The sequence below is a fragment of the Homo sapiens genome, chromosome 8, assembly GCF_000001405.40.
Source record: "Homo sapiens chromosome 8, GRCh38.p14 Primary Assembly".
Classification (NCBI taxonomy): Eukaryota; Metazoa; Chordata; class Mammalia; order Primates; family Hominidae; genus Homo; species Homo sapiens.
The window spans coordinates 94,950,537-94,967,898 of record NC_000008.11 but is presented as its reverse complement, the minus strand read 5'-3'; the positions used below and the strand labels follow the sequence as shown (position 1 = coordinate 94,967,898).

Sequence of the window (17,362 nt, the reverse complement as noted above, 5' to 3'; positions counted from 1 at the left end):
CGCAGTCTTGGCTCACTGCAACCTCTGTCTCGCAGGTTCGAACGATTCTCCTGCCTCAGCCTTCCAAGTAGCTGGGATTACAGGCACATGCCACCACGCCTGGCTAATTTTTTATATTTTTAGTAGAGATGGGGTTTTGCATGTTGGACAGGCTGGTCTCGAGCTTCTGACCTCAAGTGATCCACCCACCTCGGCCTCCCAAAGTGCTGGGATTACAGACGTGAGCCACCGCGCCCGTGGTGCGGTGGCTGACATTTTGATAGCAGCCTTATGAGAGAACCGAAGCCAGAGGCACCCAACTAAGCCCTGCTCAGTTTCCTGACTCACAGAAACTGTAAAATAATAAATACTTGCTGTTTTAAGCCTCTGAGTTTCAGGATAATGCAACAGATGACTAAAGGATCTCTGTCATTATCTCTGGCACCTAGAAAAAAACCTGGCACACAGTAGGTACTCAGAAATATTTTGGAATGAATAAATGAATTTCAGGACTTTTTCTAGGAAGATGGTCAGTCTTGCTGTGGATGATGTGTGCAAATGTGAGTCCTGGAACTGCTTCAGCCACTCCATGGCCATTTGTGAGGTCAGCCTGAATGCAAGGCCAACACAGAGGGGCATATCCAAGAAAACAGTGAAGTTGCAAAGCCAGAGCCCCAACAAACACATCTGCCCTACCTGTAAATTGTTTTGGCTACTTTATCAAAGTTTAAGCTAGTTTGGTCTCAGCTTTCAAGAACTTGTAACTAAAAGCATCCTAATGATTACACTTTTCATGGCATCATTCCCTTTTTCTCTCTCTCCGCATGTTCCTTTTTTTCTTTCTTCTGCCTACCCCCTTATGGTAGAGATTACAATGGTCTATCCAATTTCCATTCCTTTCATTCCTTACCAAGGGAACCTGATTTAGTTGGTGCAGTGAGGGGCCTAGCTAAGAACTGCATTTCCAGCCTCCCTTGAAAATAGTTCTAAGTTTTGGCCAATGTAAGCAGAAGTTATGTAGTGAGTCTCCTGGAAAGACTTCCTTAAAAGCAGCCCCACTTGGCTGGCAGACACCTTTTTCCTTTGGCCTCTTCCGCTTTCCCGCTGCCTGAAATAGGATGATGGGACCTAAAATGACCATTTTGTGAAACTAAAGCAAATTTGAGGATAGGCCACACACACTAAGTATGGTGGAAGAAAAAGAGAGCCTGAGTGTCTAATGAAGCCAAGAGTCTAACCCTGAAAGCCTCACTGCTGAACTCTGTGATGAGAAGAAACCAATACTAATCTTATTCATTGCCTTTGTGTTATTTATTTATTTATTTAGAGACAAGGTCTCACTCTGTCACCCAGGCTGGAGTGCAGTGGTGCAGTCACAGCTCACTGTAGCCTCAAACTTCCGGGCTCAAGCAATTCTCCCACCTCAGCCTCCCAAGTAGCTGGGACCACAGGCGCGTGCTACCACACCTGGCTAATTTTTTGACTTTGTGTAGAGATGAAGTTTCACCATGTAGCTCAGGCTGGTCTTGAACTCTTGAGCTCAAGTGATCCTCCTGCCTCAGCCTCCCAAAGTGCTGGGGTTACAGGCATGAGCCATCATGCCTGGCCGTCCTTCCTGTTACATGTATAATAGTTTAACATCAACCTGACTGATATAAGCCTTACATGTGAAGTCCCCAGGGTCCGTCCCTGTCTTCTCTTTCCCCCGCATGCTCTCCCCAGGTGATCTCATCTGCTTCTGTAATTTAAGAATGATCTCCTTTATAAGGACTTACAAACCGATGCCTGTACCTCATGAGTATCTCCCAAGCTCCAGACTCAGAGTCTTGAGTGACTCCTATATGTCCCAAACTAGATGACACTTAGAAGCATACTAGGGAGCAAAGCGTGGGTTACAGATTATGGAGCCAGCTGGCTATAGTTTCCAATCCTGACTCACTTTCTGAGTAACCATGGGTGAGCAAACATTATTTCTCAGCCTTTGTTTTCTTATCTCTGAAATGACCATAAAAATATTACTTCATAGGGTTTTTATGACAAAAAATATCTCTAAAACAGTGCTGGCATATAACCAGTGCTAAATACATTGAGTTCTCTCCTACCCCATCACCTGTCTCCATCCCTGTCCATATTCCCAGTCTTCTGACTTCTCACCTTCAGGTAAATGACTTTACGAACTACCTAGTCTTCCACGCTAGACATCTTGGAATCTTCTTCAATTTCTGTCATTTGCCATCATTCCGTCATGGCCAATTGACTAAATTCTGTTGAGTTTTTATCCCAGAACCGTGACCTCGCTTTCCTACCTCCATTGCAACTCCTGGCTTAAACTCTTATTAGCCCTTGTCTGGCTTATTCCTATGGCCAACCACAGCCTCTTCACAACTTAATCTCCCACCCTTCTACCAAGGTTGTTTCCTTAAACATAAAAACAGGATCATGTCTCAGCATAGCTTACTGACCTTTCCTGACTTGTGTGGCCTTCAGAATAAAATCCAAATTCCAGAAGCAGTCATCCAAGGCTGTCCATCAAGGCCCTGACACCCTCCACCCTGTCCCAGCCTCTTCTTCCTCATTCCCCGGGGACTCACCATTCTCCAGACAGATCAGGCCCTTTCCTGACTGTCTTTGCACCTGTTGGAATGTGTGTATACTGCCCCGGTCCTTTAATTATATCATCACCTTCGATATGTATATGGCCCAGTAATTGTTTCAAAGTTTAATTTGTTTTTCTCCCTGCAGTTCCCCTTTTTTCTGTCCCCATTCTAAAAGGATCTGTTCTCAGCCTCAGGGCCGACTGGGCAGGATGACCACAGAGTTGACTGCAGACTCTTCCCTTTCCTGGCTCATATTTCCCAAGCCCTAAGCTCACTGAGGTGAACAGAGCTTAAGGTGAGGGTCTCTGATGGAAACAGTGCTAGAGGGAGGGATTTCCCTCATACCAAGAAGAGATGCTGGACCTGAGAAGAGGAAAGAGACATCTCTGGCGCCCATCAGTGGCAGGGATCTATACCATGCTTTCTGGATGTATCAGGCACTGGGTGGAAATTCCCATGGTCCATCAGGGAGATGGAGTGTGATATAGTTTGGATATTTGTCCCCTCCAAATCTCATGTTAAAATGTGACCCCCACCAATGTTGGAAGTGGGGCTCAGTGGGAGATATTTGGTCACAGGGGCAGATGATTCATGAATGGCTCGGTGCCATCCCCTTGGTGATGAGTGAGTTCTCATTCTATTAGTGCACATGAAATTTGGTTGTTTAAAGGAAGCTGGCACCTCCTTCTCGCTCTCTTGCTCCCTCTCTTGCCATGTAACATGCCTGTTCTCCCTTTGCCTTCTGCCATGAGCAAAAGCATCCTGAGCCCTCACCAGAAGCAGATGTTGGTGCCGTGCTTCTTATACAGCCTGCAGAACTGCGAGCCATATAAACCTCTTTTATTTATAAATTACCCAGTCTCGGGTATTCCTCCTTTTTTTTTTTTTTTTTTTGAGACAGGGTCTCTCTCTGTTGCCCAGGCTGGAGTGCAGTGGAATCATCATAGCTCACAGCAGCCTCAACCTCTTGGTCTCAAAATATCCTCCTGCCTCAACCTCCCAAGTAGCTGGGACTACAGGCATGTGCCATCATGCCCAGCTAATTTTTAAATTTTTTTGTAGAGATGGGGTCTCCCTATGTTGCCCAGGTCGGTCTCAAACTCCTAGGCTCAAGGGGTCCTCCCACCTCAGCCTCCCAAAGTGCTGCGATTACAGGCATGAGCCACTGTGCCCTGCCCAGGTATTTCTTCATAGCAATTTAAAAAGACTAATACAGGGTCCTACCGCCAGGGTTCCTATGTCACAGAAACAGCAGCACCAGGGACTGAAGGGCCCTTCAGGCTAACTAAGGCCACAGAATTTTAGCACAGCCTTGGGTGCAGGGGGAATCCCCAGGAAGGACTAAGATGACTTTCCCACAGCCCTAACAGGATGAGGGCTGAATGTGAAAATGAAGTTGAATGATAAGATAATGAAATGGGCTATTTATTGACCTGCTGAGCTTGTGCACTGAGCTTCTTAACTGCTTGAGAAGCAGGCCTCCACCTGTCTTCCCCAGCTACTGCCCTGTTCTCCCTAAATGCCCTCTGCTCTCTGGCTCTTGCCTTTCAGCCCCAGATGTCTGGCTCCCTAGACCTGCTGTCATGGGTATTTGCCAACCTTCACAATTTCCCACCTGGTTCTTTGGACTTTTGAGTTTCCTGAAGTTGGCTCTGCAGGCAGCTTGGGTTTTGGAATCCTCTATTACCTAGTTAGATGTCTGGCTACGGCCCTTGTTCCAACCCGTCTCCAGCTGAGCCAGCCTCTGGCCCTCAAGGGTAGAAGAAAGAAGGGACTCAAGCACAGAAAGCTTTTTTCTCTTTGCTTCCTGACATAACTGTATTCATCCTTCAAGTCCTTTTTCATATGTTATCTCCTGGGATCATTCCCTGACCTCCTTAGGTAGGGTTCCTTTTCTGGGTTTCCATAGCATTTTGTTTATACATCTGTCCCCTCACAGTGCATTCTTTATATGTTTATATGGTGGTCTTTCCACCCTGACTATGAGCACCTTGGGGGCAGGACCACTGCTTCATTCACTTAGCACAATGTCAGCTACAGAGTAAGCCTCAAAAATGCTTGTTAAATGCCATTTTTCATGCAGTCTCCACACTGCCATGTACTCTTCTTTTTCTAACCTTCTTTTTCTCTGTATCAATAAGACATGCCTTTGGCTGCAGGTAATAGAGAGCCTGACTGCAGTGATTTAATAGTTAGTGATTTTTTTTTCTCACACGAAAAGGAGTTTGGGCCAGGTGTAGTGGCTCACGCCTGTCTGTAATCCCAGCACTTTGGGAGGCCGAGGCAGGTGGATCAGTGGAGGTCAGGAGTTCCAGACCAGCCTGGCCAACTTGGTGAAACCCCGTCTCTACTAAAAATACAAAAATTAGATGGGCGTGATGGTGGGTGCCTATAATCCCAGCTACTCAGGAGGCTGAGGCAGGAGAATCACTTGAACCCAGGAAGCTAAGGTTGCAGTGAGCTGAGATCACGTCACTGCATTCCAGCCTGGGCAACACAGCGAGACTCCATCTCCAAACAAAAAAAAAAAAGAAAAAAAGGAGTTTGGAGGCCAGGTGCAGTGGCTAATGCCATAAAAGCAATTTGGGAAGCCAAGGTGGGAGGATCACTTGAGTCCAGGAGTTGGAGGCTGCAGTGAGCTATGGTCGCACCACTGTACTCAAGCCTGGGAAACAGAGTGAGACATTGTCTCAAAAAAAAAAAAAACAAAAAACAAAAAACAGAAGTCTGGGCTAGGTGTGGTGGTTCATGCTTGTAATCCCAGCACTTTGGGAGGTCAAGGCAGTCGAATTACTTGAGGCCAGGAGTTTGAGACTAGCCTGGCCAACATGGCAAAACCCCATGTCTACTAAAAATACAAAAGTTAGTCAGGCATGGTGGCACATGCCTGTAATCCTAGCTACTTGGGAGGCTGAGGCACGAGAATTGCTTGAATCCAGAAGGCAGAGGTTACAGTGAGCCAAGATCTTGCCACTGCATTCCAGCCTTGGCTATAGAGCAAGACTCTGTCTCAAAAAATAAAAAGCAGTCTGGAGGTAAGAAACCTAGGACCGTCAGAGACCCAGTCTCCTCCTGTCTTTCTATCCTGTCCATTTTAATGTGCGGAACATAAGGTGGCTGCTGTGCCTCTGAGCATTGTGTACCTGTTCTGGGCAGGAAGAAGTAGAAAGGGTGAAGGGCCAACTCTGTCCCTTTTCATCAGGAAAGCACAGTTGTCCTAGAAGACTTCTGCTGACATCTCATTGGCCGGAACTATGTCACATGGCCACCCCTAGCTGGAAGGGAAGCTAAGAAGGGGGAAGGCAAAGGACAAAGTGGAGAAGTGTGGGTGTGAATGAGAAAATTCTTGGGCCTCACTCCAGACCTACTGAATCAGAAATGCTGGAGACGGGCCCTGGCAATCTGTGATACAACAAGCCCTCCAGGGGATTTTGATGCAGCTGACACTGGAGAATCATAGCAAAATATGAAGGCCAGTATTATGGTAGGAAAAAATCCTGGACTAGAATTCAAATCAATTTCTTGGTACAAGTTTTGTTATGGCTAGCCAAGAGACCTTAGTTTTCTGTCTATAAAATGGCAGTAATAATGGTTGCTCTAGGCTGGGTACAGTGGCTCATGCCTGTAATATCAGCACTTTGGGAGGCTGAGGCGGGTGGATCACAAGGTCAGAAGTTGGAGACCAGCCTGGCCAATATGGTGAAACCCTGTCTCTACTAAAAACTACAAAAAAATTAGCCAGGTGTAGTGGTACGCGCCTGTAGTCCTAGCTACCTGGGAGGCTGAGGCAGGAAAATCGCTGGAGCCCGGGAGGCGGAGGTTGCAGTGAGCTGAGATGGTGGCACTGCACTCCAGCCTGGGCGACAGAGCGAGACTCCGTCTCAAAAGAAAAAAAACAACAATAATGGTTGCTGTGACTTCATTCTCTGAATTGTTGTGAGGACCAGTTTAAACAATGCAGATGAAAACATGTTGAAACTGTAAGTCATTAGACAACTGTACTGATTTAAAATGGTAAAAGTTCTTATTGAATGAATGAAAGGTTGGATGGTACTAAGGAAGGAGGAGAAGTTTTATATGAGGTAAGCCTGGAGTTCAAGGACAAAAATGAAATGTGAGAGAGTGTAGTGGTGAATTTTACGTGTCAGTGGAGAACACTGATGAATAAGAGAAAAAATTTTCTAATTGGGACCGAGTGGTTTATTTTGCTTCTCTGTATTGTTCGTCAAAATTCCAAAAGAATGATAGTCTCTTGACACTGTTTCTGTGTTCAGAGATTATTGCATATAATTAATAAAAGGTGAAAAATGTCTATGTGCTGGCCTTTTAGAGTTTTGGTCTCTCACAAGATGTTTTCTTGGGTAATAATTATAGAGCAATCTTGCAATAGCCTTGTCACAGTTTATGTAGCTGACGTGTTGGGCAGAGTGCAAATGCCTGGGAAAAGCAAAGCTACCCGTAAAAGGTATGAAGGGTTTGTTCGAAAAGTTACAACAGTCAGGGACAAAAATAGAAATTGAAACCACAGACGTTCAGAATACACTGTTATCAAAAACAAATGTTTGCAGCAGCTCCACTGGTTGCTGCTACAGGTGGTTTCCATGAGAGGAAAGAGGACATAAACATACATGGTCTCAAAACAAACACTTTGGAGGATACTGAAATGGAGCATTTAGCAGAAAGGTTGGTAAGAAGATGTGAAACAAATGAAAGGGATTTAGCGTTCTGCCAATTGGAATAAAATTACTGAGATGTCATTGTCTGTGCACCAAGCAAGGCATCCATCCTTTATTGTATTAAAACTGCTCACTCAATTCCTTGTTCATTAGTTCCACAACAGCCACCCATATAACAGACATGGAGCAGTTTCCACCGGATGAACTTAGACAAGTCATCAGCTGCTAACGAGGCACCAGGGAAGTCCCAGTCATATCTACATTTGCCTTCAGATAACCTTTACGGGTTTGGAAATTGCCATGATGAAAATAGCAGAGTCGTACTGAGGTTGGGAGTTTGACCTGTCTATTCAGGTGAAAACCACAATGTCAAGAAGGAAATGTTGGCAGCTATGTGAAAGCACCAAAAACCAATGAGTTGCGCGTCTTCAATGGATGAAGTATACAGTATGTCAATTTTATCTCTATAAAGCTGCTACCAAAAAAAAGAAGGAAGTGTTTTTAAGGCAAAGATCTGGTGACACAGAGGCTATGCAGTAGCTAAGAGACTTTGTTTGTATATGTCTTGGTTAAGTTTGTCTGCACAAAATGTGAAGCCAAGGTTTACTCATTGATCGATCTGTTTAACATCTGGACTCGGACATGCAAGTGCTGTGATAAGAGAGTTTGTAGAAGTAAAATCACAAAACCACGTGATCCTTGGTGCTGGGGACAGAGAATATAATCTGCACATGAAAAGCTGATGAAATGTAAACATCCGAAACTGGGGGGGACCCAAAGCCAAGGTCAGTTCATACAAATAGGCCAGGCCAGGCATGGTGGCTCATGCCTATAATCCCAGCACTTTGGGAGGGCAAGGCGAGAGGATCACTTGAGCCCAGGAATTCGAGACCAGCCTGAGCAACATAGTGGGATCTCATCCCTACAAAAAGTAAAAAAAATAAAAATAACAGCCTGGCATGGTGGTATGCACCTGTAGTCCCAACTACTCAGGAGGCTGAGGTGGGAGGATCACTTGAGCCCAGGAGGTAGAGGCTGCAGTGAGCCATGAATGTGCCACTGCACTCCAGCCTAGGAAACAAAGCAAGACTGTCTCTAAAAAAAAAACAAAAAAAACAAAAAGCAACAACAAAAAAATTGGCCAATGCTAAGTCAGGGATTCAAAATATTCAACCACCTTTGGAACTGGACTTTCTGAGGGTGTTTTAGTTGTCAATTAGGCAAATGGAGTCTTATCTGTTTGTCCTCTTCCCCTTCCAAGAACCCATTGACCTCCTTCCTCCTCTTCAAGCCTTGAGTACCTAGTATGTAGGTAGCCAGGACAGCTGTAATTTGATATGTGAATGTGTTTCCTCCTTTACATCCTGGGAGATTGTTATGGTTACTGCTGCTCTCAAAGACAGGAATTGAAATGCAGCTTGGTTGGACTGGAGAGTCTCAGAGTGAGGATTCCTGAGGTCAAGTGCCAGCCCCATCACTCACAGGTTATGTGACCTGAGTAAGTCATTGGATACTTCTTGATCCCATCCCTTCTCAGGTACTCAGGCTTTGCTACCGCAATCACCCCCTCTTTCCCGCAGCCATTTTCAGCTTCTCTGCCATATCATTCTTACCAGCAATACCAGTAGTTGTAATTCCTCCCATAGTAAAAGCCCAAAGTAAAGACAAAACCTCCCTGTCTTCCCATTCACATCTAGTTCCACTTTGATCTTTTGCTTTCCTTTACAACAAAATTTCTAAGAAAATAATTGCTTAGTGTTATGGGCTGAATTGTGTGCCTCGCAAATTCATATGTTGAAGCCCTAATCTCTAGCACTTCAGAATGTGACTATACATGACTGGGCGCAGTGGCTCACGCCTGTAATCCCAGTACTTCGGGAGGCTGAGGCTGTCAGATCACCTGAGGTCAGGAGTTTGAGGCCAGCCTGGTCAATACGGTAAAACCCTGTCTCTACATGGTGGCGTGTGCCTGTAATCCCAGGTACTCAGGAGACTGAGGCAGGAGAATTGCTTGAACCCAGAAGGCGGAGGCTGCAGTGAGCTGAGATCATGCCACTGCACTCTAGCCTGAGCGACAGAGCAAGACTCCATCTCAAAAAAAAAAAAAAAAAAAAAAAAAAAAAAGAATGTGACTATGTGTGGAGATAGGGCTTTGAGACAGGTGATCAACAGGTCATTAGGGTGGCCCCTAATCCCGTATGACTAGTGTCCTTACGAGAAGAGGAGATTAGGATGCAGACAAACACAGGCAGAGCATGTGGGCACACAGGGAGAAGACAGCCATCCACAAGCCAAGGAGAGAGGCCTCAGCAGAAACCAGCCCTGACAACACATTGATTTTGGATTTCCAGCCTCCAGAACTATCAAGAAAATACCTTTCTGTTCTGTAAGATGCCCAATCTGCAGTTCTTAGTTATGGCAGCTCCAGAAGTAAATACATTTAGACCTTCTATGTCTGCTTCCTCACCTCCAGTCTCTCTTTCTTGTGATTTTCCTCCTTCTTTTTAACCTACTCCAGTCAGGACTCCATGGCCACCAACCACTCCTCACGAACTGCCTGTGCCGAAGTCACCACTGACCACCATCTGTTGTGCTGGACTCCTGCTGACTCCAGTAGGGCTGGCACCATGTCAGAAAGGCCGAAGAAGAGACCTGGAGACAACAAACGAGACATAGGGTTTGTTGGATGGATTTACAAACAGGGATGGTCCAATGGCGGTGAGCTGGACAGGAGCACCACCACCATTTGTAAAAAGCATGCAGTTTGTATGGCATTTTCACTTAGCAACCTCCACCTAGCAGCAACCTTCATTTAACCCCAAACAAAGAGCCTCTTTCCCCTGTACAACCCTCATTCCAAGAGGTGGCCCGGGGGTTCAGATGTCCTTCATGAATAATGAGTGAATTTCTGGGTTGGCCGCTTCCACGTTCCTCAGCTCGTAACTCCAAACACACATCTTCTTAGACTACAAGGTCATTCTCAGGGTATGTGTAAGTGAAGTTATTGCTATCAATACATCTGCTGTAGACCATCTTGCTGGATCTAGAAGCCACCTCACTGTTCTCATTGTATCTGGCTTCTCTGCAGGTGGTCACACTTTCCTTCCAAAGACAGTTTCAGTACTTGGATCAGGCTACCACGCTGTCTTATTTTTCAGTCACCCCATTGGCTGTCCCTTCTCACTCTTCTTGGCTGGATATCCCTTATCTTCTTTCTTCTAAATGTCAGAGCCCTGGGCCCAGCTTTCAGCCCTTTCCTCTGTCCATAATCTCTCCCTAGCTCCTTGATCCAGTCCTATGGCTATAAATATTAAAGCTGATAAGTTGCACATTTACATCACCACTCCCACCTCCTCTTTGAGCTCCAGACCCAAATATTCAATTGCCCTGGAACTTCCACCTGGATATAAAAAGCATTTCAAGCTCAGTTTGTGTCCCTCATCCTTTCTTTGTTTCTCCCCATTTTTTATTTTTTGAGATGGAATCTCACATTGTCGTCCAGACTGGAGTGTAGTGGCATGATCTTAGCTCACTGCAACCCCCGCCTCCCAGGTTCAAGTGATTCTCCTGCCTCAGCCTCCCGTGCAGCTGGGATTACAGGTGCATGCCACCCCGCCCGGGTAATTTTTGTATTTTTTAGTAGAGATGGGGTTTCACCACATTGGCCAGGCTGGTCTCGAACTCCTGACCTCAAGTGATCCGCCCACCTCAGCCTAACAAAGTGCTGTGATTACAGGCATGAGCCACTGCGCCTGGCCCCCATTCCCTTTAATAGTATCATTATTCACAGTGGGAGATCAGAGCCCCAAGCACCATCCTTGATTCTCTTTCACATTTCACATCAGTCCACTAAGCAGCCTTATTGTCTCTATCTTCAAAATAAATCTTCATCTCAGTCATTCATTTACCTCCCCCTCCACTGCTGCCATCCTGGTCCTAACCCCACCCTCCATCCTCTGAATCACTGCATCTTATTTCCTTGCCTTCCATCTACCCACTACGAGTGTTTCCTACACAGTAGCCAGGGGGATTCTTTTGAAATTATTGAATCCTTTCATTTCCCATCACATTTTGAATGAAATCTAGACTTTTCATTCTGGTTTGCATGTTCTCTCCTGACCCAGACCCTGCCCACCTCTCTGATCTGGTCTCCTTCTCCAGTCTCTTTCCCTCACTGCACTCTGGCCACACTGCTGGTCCTCTAAGCACCCCTGTGGCATGGTGGGACCTTCACACTCACTGTTCCTTCTGCTACTAGTCACTGATTAGAGCTTCACAGAGCTTGCTTGCCCCTTTCATCATGCAGGGCTTGGCTCAGAACTCACCTTCTGGAGAGGCCTTCCTTGACCCCCCAGCTTATATAGCACTTGCCCAAACGCTGGAAAACCCAGCACACTCAGGTTACTCTTATGACCTTTTAATAAGCTCTTACTATAGTGCCAAGCATTGTATTAAATGCTTACATGCATTATCTCATTAACCTCGGAACCACTGAAGGAGGCATTCTAATCATCCCCATTTTATGCAACAGGAAATGGAGGCTAAGAGAGGTCAAGCCTAAAGTCATTCAGCTTGCACTAAGGTCTGATTCTAGAATTAGGGCTCTTAACCATTAGATTCAGCTGATTCAGCTGCTTCTCACTTTAAATTCTGTTCTGAGTTATGGATTATATGGCTTCCAGGAGTTTAATTTACAGGACTGATTGGTTTCTATTGCACTTGTGTTTGAGCAGGTAAAGTAACTCAGGTGTATCAGTGTGTGCTAGGGAGGGACTTCTTTTCCAAACTATGGTTTTAAACATTCACATAATACAAAATGCAGGTTAGGTAGGCACAAATTCAAGCATAGGTCAAGACCACCTCTGTGGTTTCTACTTATAGACTTATTAAAGAAGATGAAGATATTTTGCTGTTGACTTTATGGTTTGAGGGGGCTCAAGTTCTCAGAAGTTATTAAAGCTTTTAAGCATTTTTCCTTTTATTTTCTTTTAAAATCCTATTTCCTTTTAATCTATTTGGGGTTCAAAAAAGGGAAATAGATAAATAAATAACATCCTATTTCCACATGGTGATTAGAGACAAAATACTTCAAATGAGAAGCACTATAGTTTGAACGTGTTCCCCAAAGTTCATGTGTTAAAAACTAAATCCCCAATGCAACAGTGTTGACAGGTGGACCTTTAAGAGGTGATTAGGTCATGAGGGCTCTGCCTCATAAATGGATTAATGCTGTTATCCCAGGAGTGGGTTAGTTATCACAGGAGTGGATGCCTGATAAAAAGGATGAGTTTGACCCCCTTCCTCTCATGTGTGTGCACGTTTTCTTGCCTTTCTGTGGGTCTGTCGACCTTGGATTTGGCAGACTCCACAACTGTAAGAAATAAATCTCTGTTCTTTATGAGTTACCCATTCTCAGGTATTCTGTTATAGCAACACAAAATGAACTAGGACAAGAAGGGTCTATGTGCTGGTAAGAACACACACTTACCAAAGACCTACATGTGCCAGGCACCTTTCTGCCTTTATTGTCTCTCCGAGCTGGTATTATTGTCCCTCTTTTACAGGTGAGGAAACTGAGGCACTTAGAAGATAAGCAACTGTCCCCATTCCAGAGCAGGAACTCCATAATTATCTGTTCTTTCCTTCCTTACCAGACAGCACAGAGTGTATTTATCTCCAGGATGCAACAGAATTGATTACCTGAGGCCCATTCTGTGAGACCTGTTCTCAGGGCTCTACAATTTAGTTCCAGGTTATAATAATAAACACAAAAAGTGACTTCTCAGAGATCTGTGGGCCTTTCTGGAAGTGTTGGAAAAGCCAAAAAGACAGCAAAACAATTCAAAGTTCTACGGCTCTTCAGCTTATAAACCTATGGGTCTGGTCAGGTCACCATCAGATACCAGATCATGCCAAATCCTCAGTTACACTGTGTAGCCTGAGAACAGCACTGCTCTTAAGCACAGCAAAGACTCTTCTACCTCAGGCCTTTGCACTTGCTCTTCCTGCTCCTGGACCACTCTTCTATGCCCTTTGGTTCTCAATGCTCAAATGCCACCTCCTCAGAGAGGCCCTCCTGACCACACTACCTCCCCACCAACTTCTCTCTAACCCTTTACCCAGCTTATCTTTCTTCACAGCACCCACTAAATTATATATTTACTTGTTTATTGTATCTCCTCTACTAGATGGAAGGTTCTTGAGGGCCAAGACTTTTCTGTTTTGTTCACTGCTGTATCCCTGGTGCCTGGCATAGAGTAAGTGCTCATTAAATAACTGTTAAATAGGTCAGGTGTGGTGGTTCATGCCTGTAATCCCAGCACTTTGGGAGGCTGAGGCGGGCGGATCATGAGGTCAAGAGATCAAGACCATCCTGGCCAACATGGTGAAACCCTGTCTCTACTAAAAACACGAAAATTAGCTGGGCTTGGTGGCACACGCCTGTAGTCCCAGCTACTTGGGAGGCTGAGGCAGGAGAATCTCTTGAACCCGGGGGGCGGAGGTTGTAATGAGTGGAGATCACGCCACTGCACTCCAGCCTGGCGACGAAGCGAGATTCCATCTCAAACAAAAAACAAAACAAAAAAATTCATCTTGCAAAATGTAATGGATATTTAAGAGAAATAAATGCCTACTCCTATCAAAGAGGAATAAAGCAGGAAAAGAGGCCCCGAAAGGATACTATAGAAATAAAAAACCTTGCCTTGGATGATCAAAACGTTTAGGCCTGGCTTTGCCAAAGCCATGAGAAACATGGACATTTAAAAGCATAAATTCATCTTGCAAAATGAAATGGATATTTAAGGTAGTTCATTCATGCAAAAAGAAAAAAAAAAGAATCCAATAAACGAGTTTTCCTTAAATAGGTAGATTATTTAGGCAGTGTGTGGCTTATGTAAGTAGTAACCATATCATCTGCATCCTTTTGAGAAGAGCAGAAAGGCACTTGCACTCATGCTGTCACCCTAACAAAGCAATTCATGATTACAGACCCACCTCAGGTTGCCTCTGGCATATGCGGACTGTTGGGCAGTGCCCAGAAGTATCAGTGTGAGTGAAGAAGTCGCTTTGGCAGCGGGAGTTACAAAAGCCCTTTGCTCACACACTTCAACTAATCTCTGACAACCGCCCCAAGAACGAGTCACATCTGCCCCACACAGTGCGCCTCTTCAAGCTTCATGGCTCCTTGGAGCTAGGGTGGTGTATGAAGGGCCATTCTGTATCATGTCTCTAGACCATATCCAGTAAGGGATGACCTTGCTTTCTGCTCAAAGGTTTTTTTTTTGTTTTTTTTTTTCTTGAGATGGAGTTTCCGTCTTGTTGCCCAGGCTGGAGTGCAATGGTGCGATCTCGGCTCATGCAACCTCCGCCTCCCCGGTTCAAGCGATTCTCCTGCCTCAGCTTCCCGAGTAGCTGGGATTACAGGAATGCACCACCATGACCAGCTAATTTTGTATTTTTAGTAGAGACGGGGTTTCTCCATGTTGGTCAGGCTGGTCTTGAACTCCCGACCTCAGGTGATCCACCTGCCTCGGCCTCCCAAAGTGCTGGGATTACAGGCGTAAGCCACCGTGCCCAGCCTCTGCTCTAAGTTTTAACATAAATAATTGGGTTACCTGTACATTCAGCCAGAAACTAAGAAGCCTTGAAAGTACTTTCCAGAAACTAGAGAAAATACTCTAGGCCTGAAGCGATCATTAGTTACAATCCAGCGCAGGCTATCCCACCTCTTGGGGACTCCCCCCTAGCACTGGTTACTGAATGAAGGGGGCCCGCCTCCTTTTTCCTTTCTGCTGCCTCAGCCAGCACACAGACCCTTTTTATTTTAAGGATTTTATTTCTAATCACCACGTGGAAATAGGGTTAAACAAAAAGACAAACATACAAAAGTCACAAAGGTTGCAGGGTCTTGAAAAGCTATTACACTTATGGCCCTGGAATAATTCTTGACTCCTTTCTGAGATGGTAACTGGCAGCCCAGTTAAACGCCTGTTTTCTGTTTTTATTTCAGAAAGCAGAAATCACAGAATCTCTTGCTTCTTTGTTCCAGGCTTTCTGGAGACCCAGTCAGATCCTTTCTTCCCTTAAGACAATAGATGTCACTGGAATGCTAAGTGATTGTTTATCTAAAATGCAATTTAAAAAAATTCTTGTCTTTCCCAGACACTTGGCAACATGCTGTGTCCATGGTAGAAGCCCAGCAGATCCTAACTGTTGATGGGTAGATAGAAAACGACCTAAGTGGACTTCACTTTGCCATTCTCCTCAGTACAGACAGAACAACTTGTTGCTTTGTGTTCTGAGGCTGCCCCAAGTAGCCATCCTATGGGTTGGTAGGAAACAACATTCTTTAGCAGCCTCGATGCAACTGGCAGGGTTATGGCCACAGCCTGCTTTCATAAGCAGGAGGCAGAGGCATTAGTTGCATTGTATCTGTTTGTTGGTGTGAATGTGGTCCTGCACTGTGAGTCTTCCAAACAAAACTTGAGGTTGAATCCCTTTTGTTAGGGTAGATAAGGGAGCGTATTGAGCTCCATGGAAAACAGACAGGAGAACTCTGACAGATGGGGAAAGGGTCACCCCCACAGCAGGGGGTCAGCCTGGAAGTGGGTACTATAGCAACACGCTAAGAATTATTCTGTGAATTAAAGGATGGTTGGATTCACTGGATCTGCCCAGGCAGGGAACCTGGCTGGGTCTTTGTCAGTGAACAGATGAAAAGCTTGCTTGCATTTGTGTAATTTGACAGTTTGGTTGTGTTCAGACAGCTCTACGCTATGGAGATGACATTACTCCTGAGTTTCACTGCATGCATTTATGTAAACCAGTGGCATACCAGGAAGGGAGGCAGTGGGAGTGATCCACCCCAGATACAGGCAGTACACAGTAAATTTGTGTGTCTGCAAAGAATTTTAAAATAAAATTGACTAAAAGTCAGTTTGCTTTTTATTATTATGCTCCAACAGTTCCAAACAATGTCGTGGTAAAGTACTCCTCCCTCCTAGGGACAGACTTCACCTATGCTGCCCTGAGGCACGCCCTCCTTGGTGCACCACTGGGAATAAACAAGCACCAGGTGGGAAGATTATAAATCAGCAAGAGAGTAAACAGAAAGCAAGTGACTCCTGAGACAAGATGTTTTCATCACAAACACTATTTGGTAGAGTTTAGAGTCACTGATCTGTGATGGGCATTTCTGTTAGCTTTGTGTTTTGGTTATCGCTGCTTTAAAAACTACCCCAACATTTAGTGCCTTAAAACAATGATCATTTATTTGTTCACAATGCCGTCATTTTGGCAGTGCTCCGTGGGGATGGCTTATCTCTCCTCTGTTCAGTATGGTGTCTGCTGGAGCTGGAACTTCCTAAGGGCTTTTCCACTCATGTGTCTGGTAGCTCAGCTGGGATGAGCTGAAGAGCTAGAGCTGGCCAGGCATCTCTTTCTTTTCACATAGCCTCTCCCTGTGGCTAGCAGGGTGGTCTCTCCTCATGGGTGGCTGGCATTTTCCAGAGTACAAAGCAGAAGCTGTGGGGTTTGCTTAATGCTTTTGCTTAATGACGAGGCTTGGAAGTCCTAGAACATTCTTTCTGCCACATTCTATTGGTCAGAGCAATCACAGGGTCAGCCCAGATTCAAAGGGAAGAAAAATACACCCACTTCATGATGGAGATACTGTTGTGGTCATCTTTGGAAAAATGATCTACTTCATATTGAATTTTTCTATCATAACAAGATGATGATTTCACATGTTGCTTTAACCATGATAAACCTTATCAAACTGGAAAAAGGTAGGCCTTTTTCTTTTTAAAAATTAGCCCCTTGTAATTGTCATCATACCTTGGTTCTGAATGTGGAGATGGCCTCTTCAATGGATTCCTAGGGAGAAACAAGAGATCATGGGGCTCCTACCATAGCATGTGGGAGAAAATATTAGAACAAGCCTGATTTGCAAAAACCTAAAATCCAAAGCATGTTCAAGTCTGTGAGACTATCTAGAACACAGTTTTAGCTCTTTCTCCCAAGATAAGGTCCAATGACCATCATATTTTGATCATTACTCCTTGGTGTCTGACAACTCCCTGCACTGCAATTTACATCCTTTAAAACCAG

General features: G+C 45.0%; 1 protein-coding gene across 14 annotated transcripts in view, besides 2 other annotated features; it reads right to left on the bottom strand.

Annotated features, from left to right (window-relative positions):
• The window catches only part of NDUFAF6 (NADH:ubiquinone oxidoreductase complex assembly factor 6), a 222,698-nt gene that overhangs the window by 150,598 nt on the left and 54,738 nt on the right, over nucleotides 1-17,362 (bottom strand). For 12 of the 14 annotated variants that reach the window (NR_148905.2, NR_148906.2, NR_148903.2 and 9 more), the window contains one exon: nucleotides 9,720-9,904. The gene's annotated coding sequence lies outside the window, so the exon portion shown is untranslated. Of the gene's footprint in view, nucleotides 1-9,719; nucleotides 9,905-17,089; nucleotides 17,129-17,362 lie in introns of all 14 variants that reach the window. The other 2 variants (NR_148904.2, NR_148908.2) reach the window with 1 other exon arrangement.
• Nucleotides 5,815-5,971: a silencer, noted in NCBI's record as "fragment chr8:95974156-95974312 (GRCh37/hg19 assembly coordinates)". NCBI's record gives its function as "represses an EF-1alpha promoter that drives an FKBP-Casp9 reporter gene in an ReSE screen in phorbol 12-myristate 13-acetate-treated (for megakaryocytic differentiation) K562 erythroleukemia cells {active_cell/tissue: K562(+PMA)}" and the evidence as "EXISTENCE:reporter gene assay evidence [ECO:0000049][PMID:32094911]".
• Nucleotides 7,609-7,688: an enhancer, noted in NCBI's record as "active region_27639". NCBI's record gives its function as "activates an Ori minimal core promoter by ATAC-STARR-seq in GM12878 lymphoblastoid cells {active_cell/tissue: GM12878}" and the evidence as "EXISTENCE:reporter gene assay evidence [ECO:0000049][PMID:35858748]".